The sequence below is a fragment of the Homo sapiens genome, chromosome X, assembly GCF_000001405.40.
Source record: "Homo sapiens chromosome X, GRCh38.p14 Primary Assembly".
Taxonomy (NCBI): Eukaryota; Metazoa; Chordata; class Mammalia; order Primates; family Hominidae; genus Homo; species Homo sapiens.
In genome coordinates, this window is record NC_000023.11 from 90,112,121 (window position 1) to 90,127,081 (window position 14,961).

The 14,961-nt window shown below is 35.5% G+C and overlaps 1 pseudogene; it reads left to right on the plus strand.

The window, feature by feature from the left end:
• USP12PX (USP12 pseudogene X-linked) lies at positions 355-2,909 on the plus strand (annotated as a pseudogene).
• Positions 2,910-14,961: the final 12,052 nt, after the last annotated feature.

Consider the following 14,961-nt stretch of genomic DNA (forward strand, 5'->3'; position numbering starts at 1 on the left):
ATACTACAGGGCGGGGCCGTGCGCAGTGGCTCACGCCTGTAATTTCAGCACTTGGGGAGGGCGGATCACGAGGTCAGGAGTTCGAGACCAGCCTGACCAACATGGTGAAACCCCATCTCTACTAAAAATACAAAATTTAGCTGGGCATTGTGGCACGCGCCTGTATTCCCAGCTATTCAGGAGGCTGAGGCAGTAGAATCGCTTGAACCCGGGAGGCAGAGGTTGCAGTGAGCCGAGATCGCGCCATTGCACTCCAGCCTGGGCGACAGAGAGGAAACTCAAAAAAAAAAAAAAAAAAAAAACTCAAAAAAAAAAAAAAAAAAAAGCGGCCGGCTGACGGGGACTAGGGCCGGGAGTACCTGAGGAGCCGGCGGCGATGACGGCAGTGGAGGCCTAGTGGGCTCGGTGCGTGGGTCGGCGGCGGCTCGGGGTCCACCCGCGGGCTACGGTGCAAGCGGGGGGCCCGGCTCCCGTCCTCCCCCGCCCGGCTCCGCCACTATGATTGGGTGGAAGATGGCGCTGGCCAGATGGAAATCCTAATGACAGTCTCCAAATTCGCCTCCATCTGTACCATGGGCGCCAATGCTTCGGCATTAGAGAAATAGATTGGTCCAGAACAGTTTCCGGTCAACGAGCATTATTTTGGATTAGTCAATTTTGGGAATACCTGCTACTGCAATTCAGTTCTTCAAGCACTTTATTTTTGTCGTCCGTTTCGGGAAAAAGTTCTTGCATATAAGAGTCAACCTAGGAAAAAGGAGAGCTTTCTTACATGCTTAGCAGATCTCTTCCACAGCATAGCCACTCAGAAGAAAAAGGTTGGAGTAATACCTCCGAAGAAGTTCATCACAAGATTACAGAAAGAAAATGAGCTTTTCGACAACTACATGCAACAAGATGCCCATGAATTCTTAAATTACCTACTAAATACAATTGGTGATATTTTACAAGAAGAGAGAAAGCAGGAAAAACAAAATGGTCGCTAACCTAATGATAATATTGATAATGAAAATAATAGCAGCACACCAGACCCAACGTGGGTTCATGAGATTTTTCGGGGAACGTTAACTAATGAAACCAGACGTCTTACTTGTGAAACTATAAGCAGCAAAGATGGAGATTTTTTAGACCTTTCTGTTGACGTGGAACAAAATACATCAATTACTCACTGCTTAAGGGGTTTCAGCAACACAGAAACTCTATGCAGTTAATACAAGTATTACTGTGAAGAGTGTCGCAGCAAACAGGAAGCACACAAACGGATGAAAGTTTAAAAACTGCCCATGATTCTAGCTGTACACTTGAAGAGATTTAAATATATGGATCAACTTCATCGATATACAAAACTCTCTTACCGGGTGGTTTTTCCTTTAGAACTTCGTCTATTTAACACTTCAGGTGATGCCACCAATCCAGACAGAATGTACGACCTTGTTGCTGTTGTGGTTCACTGTGGAAGTGGTCCCAATCGAGGCCATTATATTGCGATAGTTAAGAGTCATGATTTTTGGTTGTTGTTTGATGACGACATTGTAGAAAAAATAGATACACAAGCTATTGAAGAATTCTACGGGTTGACATCAGATACTCAAAGAACTCTGAGTCTGGTTACATCCTTTTCTATCAGTCTCGGGACTGAGGGGGAACCGCGATGAAGAGATACTTTCTGCCTCATTTCTTTTCTGGTTATTTTGGAAAGGATCAAGCACTGATTTTTCAAGAAAAGAGAAATGCAGGAAGCTCAGGGGGCAGTAGCAGGCTTTGCACACGATAAAGCAAAAACGATGGATTGACAAGCCCTTCTGATCATGGTAGTTGATTTATTTGCTCAGGTATCATGCTGTCTGTACAGTTCCATACAACAAGGAGGTGAAATCCATACCAGCTCCTCTTGTAAAACAGCCTTCCAGTCATTGACAGGCATTTCCTCTTTGCTAATTGCACCAATAATGCTTTGAATTCCTTAGGGGTGCAGTAGAAAGAATCGGAATCTGGGCTGTATTGATAAGGAGATGATGTTGAACGCACTGCATAAATTTGCCTGGTTCAGTATGTATAGAAGCATATTCAGTGGTCTTTTCAAGAGTAAACCAGAAATACTTTTGGGCCCAACACTTGCAGTTGCCTTCCTGATGTAAAAACTAACATGCTAGATAATCCAGTGTCGGGAAGACAAAGATGCTTTGCTTCTCTGAAGAAGCTTATAATAATATACAGTATATGTATATGTAGGGAGCAATTGGTCAAAAGTGGCTTTTTGTTTCCACAAGGGGAAAGACTGGCTATGTAATTATAATTTTTTCCTTATTTATTTTACTTAAAACTGGTAGAGTCTAAGTATTGTATGAAGTGCCCATGATTCTGTCAGTAAATTTGAGCATATTTTTATCAGTTAATGTCATTTTAGCTGGTCCTTTTGTTTCTATTTTTAAGGCGAATTTTAAATTATATCTGAAATCAGTAAGATACCTTGAGAAAAACTGCAATGAGAGGAGGTAAATATCCTTTTCAGGAGGAACTGATATCTCTGGCTAAATATTTGTCCTTTTATTATGGCTTCTAAATCAGTTATTTTCTTCAGCTTTAATTTCATAAAATTAAAAAACTATATAAAAAATTCCTGTAGTTGTTGGAATAATTAAAAATTCTGGTGCAGTGGTGGTATACCAATCTTTAGAATTCTTAAGAATTCTAATGTTTCAAGTTGAGGTCATGCTTGGGAAAATCATGTCATAGCATTTATGTTATTTTCAGATATCATTTTTTACCTTGGAAAGAAGTAATAATGTTCATCATAACCCTAGCGGCCTGGATAGTGAGCTAAACAAACCCTTTGAAGATTACATTTTAATCAAGTAGACTAGGAATACAAAAAACAAGTCCTTCCTCCCCTTCCCCCCACCTTTACAAATCTTACTGGAAGGGTGTTCAGAAATTAAAATTTGTGTTTGCTAAGACTTCATTCTGTTGGGGGTTTTAAGAAGTAATATATGTAATGTAAAATGTATGTAAACCACTGCAGTTTTTTTGGACATTTTTCCATGTATCAGTAAGTTGTCTGACAGTAGCCAAATGTAACTTGCAGAAAGTTATTGAAAGTTATATTGAGAATAATAGCAATCAGGCCTTGGATGTTCTTTATTAAACTCTTTTCAAGCAGTAAATTAAAAAAAAAATCTGCCATTTTCTAAAGTTCTTTTGCTAAGACTGTTGACTACGGAAAACAAACAACAAAACGGAATGTTTTTAGTCTGCTGCTATTATTAACATTTGTTATCTGTACCTTTTGGCTCAGGAAATTACTTCACGTATTTGTTCCATAAGCAGACTTTTAACAGGGTCATTTAGGTAACTGGGCTGCTTAAACAGATGTGCTGGGAGAAAATTATAATATTTAGTATTTGTACTAAATATCAAAAGTATTTTGGCAAGTTTCTTTTTAAAATAGTTTCTAAAGCCTTACCCTGGCTAGAGATGTTTTGTACAAATGATATACAGCCTGCCTGATCTACCAACTTGCCAGAGAATCACAATCAACAATGTGGGGAAAGTCAGGGCAGTGGAAGTGGATGCACACTTTTTATTTTGAGGGCTTAAACCAAATTGTTTTGGAATTAAAGCTGTATTTCTGCAACTTTCAGTACAGAGAAAAAGAGGAAAGTGAAGCTGTGTCAGTTTTAACATTAGCTATATCACAACATGTTTAAGAAAGATAGATGAAGTCATTTGCGTAAAGGTACAGCATTGAAATACTATGTTGTGTTTGTTTTTACATTTTTGCAAAAAAAATACAGTAAAAGCCAAGTTAAATTTCATATTAAAGCAAGTTCTAGTATATGTATTGAGTTGCTGGTAGTCACATACTTTGTTCACATCTGCACCATACTTCGTAGTATGATTTGTCAGGGGAGGGACTGTGGGGTGACAGTTTCACATTTACTTTTTCTTCTTAATGCAGCTGGATCTAAGTAAAATGTTTTGAAGTTTATCAGAAACTCAATATACTTTTAAAATATATAGGGTCAGGGTTGGGGGAAAAATACAGGTATAGTAAGAAAAGTGACCCATGAAGAAAGCATTGTGAGGTTGTATGTTGGTTGACTGTGATTAAAATGCGAGGCTGGTGTAAGTTGTAAACGGTGGCTGATTGCCATGTAACTATGTACATGATTGTTGGGATGGCTGTCCCATATTTTGTATATTGGAATAAAAATTTCTATAAATTATTGTAACTAAAAGTAAATATTCTAAATTAAATCCCACTTCTTAAGTCTCATGGCTTCTGTCTTGGAAACTTTACCTTTAAAAGATTATTTAAGACAGGAACCAGGAGGTTTGGGCACAGGGAAAGAAGGAAATGCTGTATTATGTGGGTCTTGTGGCCTCTAACCATCAGTATAGGGTTTTTTCTTTCCTTGATGGCAGTAGAAAGACCTCATTTTCATAACATAACTACTCTTAATACTTTCTTAAAAACACTTTTTATTAAACATTCCATCATGAAGTATTTGGCTGGGAGCTGGGAGGCTAAAGCACTCATGTCCTGGCTCTTCAGTGAATTTAACTGTGTGACCTTGGGCAAGTCACTTAACCTCTCTGTACTTCAGTCTCCGTATCTTGTAAAATGAGAGTAATACTTACCTCACAGTGTTGTTGTGGGGATTAATTAGAGATAACATCTGTAAAGCACTTAAGGTTCTTGAAGAAGGTTCTATATAAATACAAAATAATATCTACTAAAGTTGGTTTATTTGTGAAAAAAGAAATATATATATACACAGGTATACATACATACACTACAGGGCTACAGTAACCAAAACAGTGTGGCACTGGTATAAAAACAGACACATAGACTAATGGAACAGAATATAGAGCCCAGAAATAAGGCTGCCCACCTAAAATTATCTGATTTTTGACAAAGTGACAAAAACAAGCAATGGAGAAAAGACTCCCTCCTATTCAATAAATGGTGTTGGGATAACTGGCTAGCCACATGGAGAAGATTTAAACTGCACCCATTTTTTACTTCACATACAAAAATGAACTCAAGGCAGAATAAAGATTTAAATGTGAAAACCAACACTATAAAAACCCTGAAGGACAACCTAGAAAAATACCATCCTGGACCTAGAAACTGGCAAAGATTTCATGACAAAGATCCCAAAAGCAATGTTAGTAAAAGCAAAAATTTACAAATAGGATGTATTTAAATGTAAGAGCTTCACCATAGCCAAAGAAACTATCAACAGAGTACACAGACAACCTATGGAACAGGAGAAAATATTTGCAAACTATGCATTTGACAAAGGTCTAATATATAGTATCTATAAGGACCTTAAACAAGTTTACAAGCAAAACACCAAGAGCCACATTAAAAAGGAGGCAAAGGACATGAGCACACTTTTCAAAAGAAGACATACATGTGGCCAACAAGCATGTGAAAAAAAAATTCAATTATCACTGAGCATTAGAGAAATGCAAATCAAAGCCACAGTGAGATATCATCTCATACCTGTCAGAGTGGCTATTACTAGAAGTTGCAAAGTAACAGATGTTGGCGAGGTTGTGCAGAAAAGGGAATCTTTATACGCTGTTGGTGGGAGTGTAAGTTAGTTCAACCATCATGGAAAGCGGTGTGGCAATTTCTCAAAGAGCTAAATAAAGGTTTCAATAGGCATTTGTAGTAAGATATTTCATGTTCTGTTTAAGTCTTTCACAGTTCATATTCTTGGTAAGACCTCATTAGTAAAATCTCCAGAAATTCCACTACGTGTAGTCTCCCTAAACATAAGGCTGAGTCATTAAGACAGTAGCATAACCTAGAACTCTTAAGTCCCTGCTTTTCTGGAAGCCAATTTAGGTAGTTATATATTTCAATCAGAGAGTGAAACATGCATTAGCCTTAAGATTTTATTCAGAATTTTATAGATAAGTGTCTCATTGTTTCAATTATAATCCATTGAGATGACTGAATATCTCACTAATGGAACAATGTTTCCTCTCAAAATTTATATTTGAATGTTTTAATACAAATGAAAATATTCTTATTTTTCTGTAGTACTTTGTTATCCTAAAATTTCAAAAATGTCAAAATCAAATATAAATATGATTGAAAATCAGTTTGTAAGTCTGTTCTTATCATTTTTTGTAAGAATTTATTTTACCTAAGCTAGCTTTGCTTCACATTATATTTTGTGGAATTTTAATAAATGGTTTTGAATAGCAATCAACACAGAAGTTTTTCTAATATTTTTATTTGGTGCATAAAACATTAAACAAATGACAGTTTCTCTTGTTTCAAATGAATGTGTCAGTGCTGAAAAAATTTTGATGTGCTACTCACATGAGCTCACTTATAGAATTTGAGAGAAAAATAACACAATTCAAATGTTATTTTATTTTGAAAACAACCCATTTATGAGGACATATTTACTGGCTATTTGTCCATATACACTTTTTTTCAAAAGGAGGTATGTGTTTGTTTATGTGTATGTGTATGTATGTGTGCATGCACACTCATGTACACCTATACATTTATTAATATGGAAAACAGCTAAAACTTTAAAGAAACGTTTCTGGTCTTTGTTTTTATTTCATTCATGACATTTCAAAGAAAACTCTACTAATTGGCTGCCATTGGGTCAGATTCCCACAGCTGGCTTAATTTTAAAATAGAGGATCTACCACAGCATATACAGCAATAATTTCATAATTTTTAATTGAATCAAGATTTTTAAATTTTATAATGAAGTATATGTATGTAAGGTATCTGAGAACATATTTACCCAGATAATTTATTTTTTCTTTATATTTATAATTGCAAATATAATTCTACAGTACAAATTATTAGGTAATTTAAAAAGCTCCTTACTAGAAGAAGGTTATTATAAAGGGGAAAAAAATCATACTTCAATTAGAAATTTAAAAGTTTTCCTTATAATTTCTAAATGTTAGTGCATCTTAATGTAGAAATGATTTAATTTTTAATTAAATAAAAATAATTTTCCCATAAAAGTACATATATATATCTTTACTTCAGAAGACTATAAAATTTAAATATTATATCGATTAATTTGTATAATAAAATTAATCACTGTGTGTGTGTGTGTGTGTGTGTGTGTGTGTGTAGTTGAGTCATAAGTCATTCTCAAATTTGTAAGTTAGGCAATATTACAAAATGTAGTTATCATTTAATGTTTCCCATTCAATGCGGCAAGTTATATTTTATATTTTATTACTGAAATGATCCTCACGACAGTGCTATAAAGGTCGTACTTTCAATATGTCTACTTTACAGATGAAACAGCTGAGTTAGAGAGATTATGTGCTTTATTCAAAGTTATATTTTTAGCATGAGGCAGGGCTATAATTTGAACCCAAAATGTCTGACACGAGAGTTTACCCCCCTAAATTCTGAAGAAAATTTCTCGAATAAAGAAAGCACCCAAGGTGGAAATCAATACATATTAAAACATATATGATTTGTTTGTGAGAATATCATGGACAATTTCTCGTAATTCTGAAGGTTTAAAAGCATGCATAACAAATGAATCAGTTCATAATTTCAAATGACATAAAACTCAGTTTAAAAAGTAATTAAAGTATCTATTATCAAACATAAAGTACAATAATACTAAGTAATATCGCATAATGATGGGCCATATGGTGAGATATTTTGAAAAGCTATAACATTGGGCTGGGCACGGTGGCTCACGCCTGTAATTCCAGCACTTTGGGAGGTGAAGGTGGGCAGATCACTTGAGGTCAAGAATTCGAGACCAGCTTGGCCAACATGGTGAAATCCGTCTCTACTAAAAATAGAAAAATTACCCAGGCATGGTGGTGCATGCCTGTAATCCCAGCTACTCCAGAGGCTGAGGTGGGAGAATTAATTGAACCTATGAGGCAGAGGTTGCAGTGAGCCGAGATCGCGCCACAGAACTCCAGCCTGGGTGACAAAGTGAGAGTCCATCTTAAAAAAAAAAAAAAAGAAAAAAGTTATAACCCCTATTAATTATCTTCAACACTTAAAATATATCTTTTGTGATTCCTCTAACAGCTCAAACATCACATAAAACAATGCAGAGGGTCAAAGCATTGTCATGTTCAGTTATTTCAGCAGCTAGTCATATATGACAGTAGGCATCTATTCTTTGAATAAATACGTTGAGACAGTTGTGTAGAATCCACTCACATGATATCCAACATATAACTGAAAATTACAATTGAAATTGATGGTTTAAACCATTAATTGCACCATCCAATGAATTTTGTATATTTGTTATTTATGCTTGATAACTTGAATTGACTAATTGGTTCATAGATTGCCCGCTACTAATTCACCACCTCCAAAACACGAACATCCGTTTGAGTACTTCTGTACTTGATCACACAAACAGAAAGGAGAAAGCACAGGTTTTGATTCTATCCACTGTGCTAAGAGCAGTATTCATTATTTACTTAATGCTATAGTCTGAATGTTTCCTCCAAAATCCATGTTGAAATTTAATGGCTGTTGTGATTATATTAAGAGGTGAGAATAGTAAGAATGGGTTGCTGCCATATGCCATGGGGATGAGTTAATTATCCCGGGAGTAGGTTCCTGATCAAAAGCATGAGTTATACCCTCTTTCTCTCTATCTGATGTACTCACCTGCCCTTCTGTCTTCTGCCATGGTTTGCTGCATCACAAAGGCCTTCACTAGAAGCCAGCTCTTAGCCTTCTCAGCCTTCAAAACCCTGAGGCATATAAACTTCAATTTTTTAAATTAATTACCCAGTCTCTGGTACTCTGTATGGCAACACAAAATAAACTAGGACATTTAACTTAGTTATTAGCTCTTCACTATAATTTTATTTGAACCTTTTTTGTATCAAGTGAGTAAGAACAGCATGATATGTACTCAAAAAGTAGAAAGTAAATGAATATTTTAAAATAAATTATGCATTCAATCTCAAGCTGCTTTATCTGAATTACTGAAATTAGTTTTCCTCTCATAGCAAGTTTTTATTAAAAATGTCTAAAACATTCAAAGGCAAAAATATATTACAAAAATTTACCTTCTGATACGGTTTGGATCTGTGTTCCTGTCCAAATCTTGTGTTGAATTGTAATATCGGAGGTAGGGCCTGGTGGGAGGTAACTGGATCACCAGGGTGGTTTCTCATGGTTTAACACCATTCTCCTTGGAGCTTTGAGTTCTCACAAAATATGGTTGTTTAAAGCTATGTAACACCTCCCCGCTCCCTCTCTTGGTCCTATTACTGCATTGTAAGGCGCCTCCTCCCACTTTGCCTTCTGCCTTGAGTAAAAGTTCCCTGAGGCCTCCCCAGAAGCAGATGATGCCATGCTTCCTGTACAGCCTATGGAACCATAAGCCAATTAAATCTCTTTTCTTATAAATGACCCAGTCTCAGGTATTTATAGCAGTGCAAGAATGGAGTAATACACCTTCCTTATGCTAAAGAAATGCTTCGCTATGTAAAGGGTTATATATACACACACAAACGTATACAGAAACAGAGACTAACTGGAGTCAGTTCTTAAAAGTTTCTAGGAAGCTGATACCAAACATAAATTTTACTAACAAAGAAGAAAGAAAAGAAAAGGAAACATATAGTGTGTTGATTTATTCTAACCCAGCTACTTATATATGCCAGGTACTAGTACTCTTCATTTGAAAATATAGATATTACTTTTAATGTTATTTGCAAAAAATAATAAATTAAAATAAATATATGTTTATATTACACCAGATTATATCATATGAGCATTAGGGTATATTACTTCTCTCCCATGACTTTTGTTTTCACAAAGGCAAAAGATTGACAGATCAGCCATGCTACTAGTTTAGTAAATTTAGGTAAATGAATTAACTGTCCTATATTATAGTAAAAATAGAGGAAAGAATAAAGTGTTTGGTGGATAGAATAATCTTTTACGAACAGCTAGAATGGTAGTTCTACTAGAATATTATCCGTACTCTTTAGTAGACAAAAATTTTTTACACATCATTGTAGGAAACAGGGCAATTTGAAATTAACTGGTGCTAAAATCTTTTCATTACAGAAGTATTTGTCAAAGTAAGAGCCTGGATTCACATTCATCAGAGTATGCTCTAAGCACTTCCTGTATCACTTAGGATGTAGCAAGTCACAAAGATTATTGTTGTCTAACATCAGTAATAAGCCAGGTAAGTTACAAAGGCATAGTTTCTCTTTTTAAAAAAGTTTTAAATCTGAGGATAAAAAGAAAACTAAATCAACTAAAATGCAGAACATGAGAAGCCCTTTATAGGAGAGAAGAGGCTCATGTTTACTTTGTTCCTTTATAGAGTGCTGTGAGGAGAGGAATCTACTATAGATAATTGTTAATAGCAACCACTCAAATATTGAACAGACCTTTGATAGCATGTATAAGCTGGTTTATTGAATTGGGATCTGCAAACACCCCAGCAATTAAAAAAGTATGTACAGTGCTTTCAACACTTTCCCATGGGCCCTCAAAGAATCTTAAGGGATAATATGCTAAAAGTTGCAGACAGAAGAGAACTGAGAGATAGAGCCTCCAGAGATATAACTACCCTACTTCAGTCCACAAACAAAAATTAATTCAAGACAAATTATAGAACAAAATATTAAATCTAAATTCATAAAACTTCCAGGAGAAAATATTGAAAAAATCTGCACATGGGCTACTCGAAGACCTTCTAGTCAGCTCCCAAGTAGTAACCATAAGGACAAAAAATTATAAATGAGACAGTCAAACTTTTAGTTATGCTAATCAAAAGACAGCATAAAAAGGTTAAATATGTAAGCCTCTATCTGTGAAAACTATTTGCAATATATATGTATATATCTGATATAAGATCCTTAACCAAGCTTATGTCCACTTGAAGACAAGTATAAGAATGTACATAACACTTCAATTCATAATAGCTAAAAATTGCCAGACGCTGTGGCTCACGCCTGTAATCCCAGCACTCTGGGAGGCCAAGGTGGACAGATCATGAGGTCAGGAGATCAATACTATCCTGGCCAACATGATGAAACCCAGGCTCTACTAAAAATACAAAAACTAGCTGGGTGTGGTAGACCACACCTGTAATCCCAGCTACTCAGGAAGCTGAGGCAGGAGAATGGCTTGAACCCGGGAGGCGGTGATTGCAGTGAGCCGAGATCACGCCACTGCACTCCAGCCTGGCGACAGAGCAAGACTCCATCTCAAAAAAAAAAAAAAAAAAAAAAAATCTAAAAATTGGAAATAATACAAATGCCCATTAACACATGAATGGATTAAACTTTGTGATACATTTATACAATGAAATCTTACTCAACAATAAAAAGAAAACAAATTCTCATATGTAAAAAAATAGAGAATCTAAAACCATTAAATTGAATACAAGAAGCCAAACACAAATAAGTACATACTGTACAAGTCCATTTATATGAATAGACAAAACTACATTATGTTAATAGAAATCAACAGTCATTACCTATGGGTTTCACTGTCTCCCTAGGTGAGGAAACTTTCAGGCGTGTTGTAAATGTTCTATGTCTAATTTTGGTTGGTAGTTAGATGTGTGTATGTAATTGTCAAAGCACATCAAACAGCACTCAAGATTTTTTATTTTCTTGTATGTTAATTTTATCTCGGTAAAAATGCTACAAGAATTTTAACCATTTTTTTCTAGTTACAGTGCTGATTCATAGATCCTACAACAGACCTATTGAAACTGGAATTCCAGGTTTGAGGCCCTAGAATGTGCAATATTAACCAGCATACTGGGCAACTCTAATACACATTAAAATCTTAAACCCTTATCTGTAATATTCAACTTTATGTATTTTTACTACTGTATTTGCAAATTTTATTACTTCACTGTGGGCACGTAACTGATTTATAAACCTTTAAATAATGGTGTATGCTTAGAGAATCTTTTTATCTCTTATTGATTCTAACATTTTTCTTGTCCTCTGGATTTAAAAAATTTTATTATGGTATACCTTGGTGAGATGTGCTTCATGCTTTTTGTGCTAGTTAGGATTCACTGAGCTGTGGGTTTATAATTTTCAAGTTTGGAAAATTTCTAGCCATTATATCTCTAAATATATTTCTGTTTGTTCCATCTCATCTATTCCGATGACTTGAGCTGCACATATATTAGGCAATTTGAAGTTGTCTTGCTGTTCATTGACACTCTGCTAATTTTATTAGTCTTTCATGTTTTCTGTGATTTATTTTACATAGCTTTCTTATTGCTTTCTTCAAGTGTACAAATCCTTTCTATGTGGAAAATCTAGTCTGCCATTTATCCCATCCAGCGAATTTTATCTCAGGCATTCATTCTTACCTTCATCTCTGGACGTTAGATCTGAATCATTTTATACAACTCCCAATTCTCTACCTAATATGCTTTAATGTTTTGTCTGGCTTCTTAAACATAATAAAAACTGTTATAATAATTATTGTTATGTCATGTTTATTAATCAATGTACTTCTGTATCTGTTTTGACTAATTGATTTTCCCTCAATATTAATTTGTATTTTTCTGTTACTTTGCATGCTTGGTAAATTTGAATTGCTTATAATACATTGTGAATTTTAAATTGTGGATGCTAAATATTTTGTTAACCTATAAATTTTTGGATATTTGTTATTGGTCATGTTTTCATTACTTAGAAATAGTTTGATATTGGCCGGGCGTGGTGGCTCACGCCTGTAATCCCAGCACTTTGGGAGGCCGAGGCGGGCGGATCACGAGGTCAGGAGACCGAGACCATCCTGGCTAACACGGTGAAACCCCGTCTCTACTAAAAACATAAAAAAATTAGCCAGGCGTGGTGGCAGGCACCTGCTGTGCCAGCCACGCGGGAGGCTGAGGCAGGAGAATGGCATGAACTCAGGAGGCAGAGCTTGCAGTGAGCAGAGATGCACCACTGCACTCCAGCCTGGGCTACAGAGCAAGACTCCGTCTCAAAACAACAACAACAACAACAACAAAAACAAAAACAAAAAAACCCAGAAATAGTTTGTTTGATATTTTCGGTTTTGCTGTTAAGCTTTGTTAGAAGATACTGAAACATAGTTTATTCTAGGACTAAATTTTTCAACTACTTATGCAAAATGCTACTTAGTACTTTAATGGTGCCCCATCAATTATACAGTTCACTGCTTTGATTGTTGGAAACAGGCACTCTTCTTAGCTCAGTGTGAGGTCTTGGTATTGTTCCCTCTAACTCCTTTGGGTAATTCTCTCCCTAAACTGGTAATTTCCTCACATACTTGTGCTGATCAGTACTCAGTTGAATATTAGAGATTTCTGAAGTTCTGTTTGCACAAATACTTTGTAATATAAATGCTAGCTGCTTTTTCATCCCTAGAGTGGCAGCTGCTTCTGAATACAAGGAAATTGCAGGGTTTAACCTGAGTTAATACTCTCAATCAGTCATACAGCCCAGAAATCTACATCTTGGACTGCAATGATTCATGTATTTGACTTTTTGATATTTTTCTATTAGTCCCTGATGTTCTGTTCCTTTTTTGGTTTTGTTTTCTATCTTCCAGATTGATTAATCACTAATGATTTATCTTCAAATTCATCCACTCTCTCTATCATCTCTATTCTGCTACTGAGCACATCCTGTACATTTTTTAAATTTCAGAAAAGTATTTTCAGCGCTAAATTTTTCAGTTGTTTCATAGCATATACGTGTGTGTGTATAAACACATACATATGTATATTTGTCAGATTCACCTTCCGTCACTCTCAAGTGTGTTTACTTTTCACCTTATAGAGAATGGTTATAAATTAGCTGATTTAAAGTATTTTTCTGATAATTCCATTATTTAAAAATCTCTTTCTTTAATGAAAAAAATGCACATTCCTTGTTACTCCTTGCATTTTTCTTTTGGCTGTTTCTAAAAGGACATAGAATCTAATATAATGCAGAATTTAAGCCAAATATATCTGAAAGAAATGGGCATGAAGAGGGTTTTTTTTTTATTTTTTTAATTTCCACTTTTAGATTCTGGGGGAGCATGTGCAGGTCTGTTACATGGGTATGTTGCATGATGTTGAGGTTAGGGGTGTGAATTGTCCTGTCACCCAGATAGTGAGCCTAGTACCCAATAGGTAGTTTTTCCCCCTTTGCCGTTTGCTCTTCCTTCCCACTCTAGTATTCTTGTCTATTGTTTCCATCTCTTTGCCTACCTATACCCAACGTTTAGCTCCCACTTGTAAGTGAGAACATGCAGTATTTGATTTTCTTTTTCTGTATGATTTGCTTAGGATAATGGCCTCCAGCTGCATCCATGTTTCTGCAAAGAACATGATTTCATTCTCTTTTATGGCTCCATAGTATTCCATGGTGATTACATACCATATTTTCTTTATCCAGTCCACCATTAATAGGCACCTAAGTTGATTCCATGTCTTTGTTATTGTGAATAGTGCTGCAGTGAACATGTAAGTACATGTTTCTTTTTGGTAGAATAATTTATTTACCTTTGGGTATATACCCAGTAATAGGATTACTGGGTTGAATGGTAGTTCTATTTTAATTCTTTGAGAAATCTCCAAACTGCTTTCCATAGTAACTGAACTAATTTACATACCCACAGTGTTTAAGTGTTCCCTTTTCTCCACAGCCTCTCCAGCATCTGCTGTTTTTTGACTTTTCAGTAATAGCAGTTCTGACTGGTGTGAGATTGTACCTCATTGTGGTTTAAATTTGCATTTTTTTGATGTTTAGTGATGTTGAACATTTTTTTATGTTTGTTGGCCACTTGTATGTTATTTGGATATCTTGTAGATATCATCTTTTGAGAGTATTCTCCTGTGAAAATGTGTCACATTTCTTTCCATGTGAAATTAATTTTAGATTATACCCTGAACATTTAAATATCATGATGTGTAGATTCCGGGTCCTGTTGTACTCCTCTGGAGGGAGAAAGTTGCT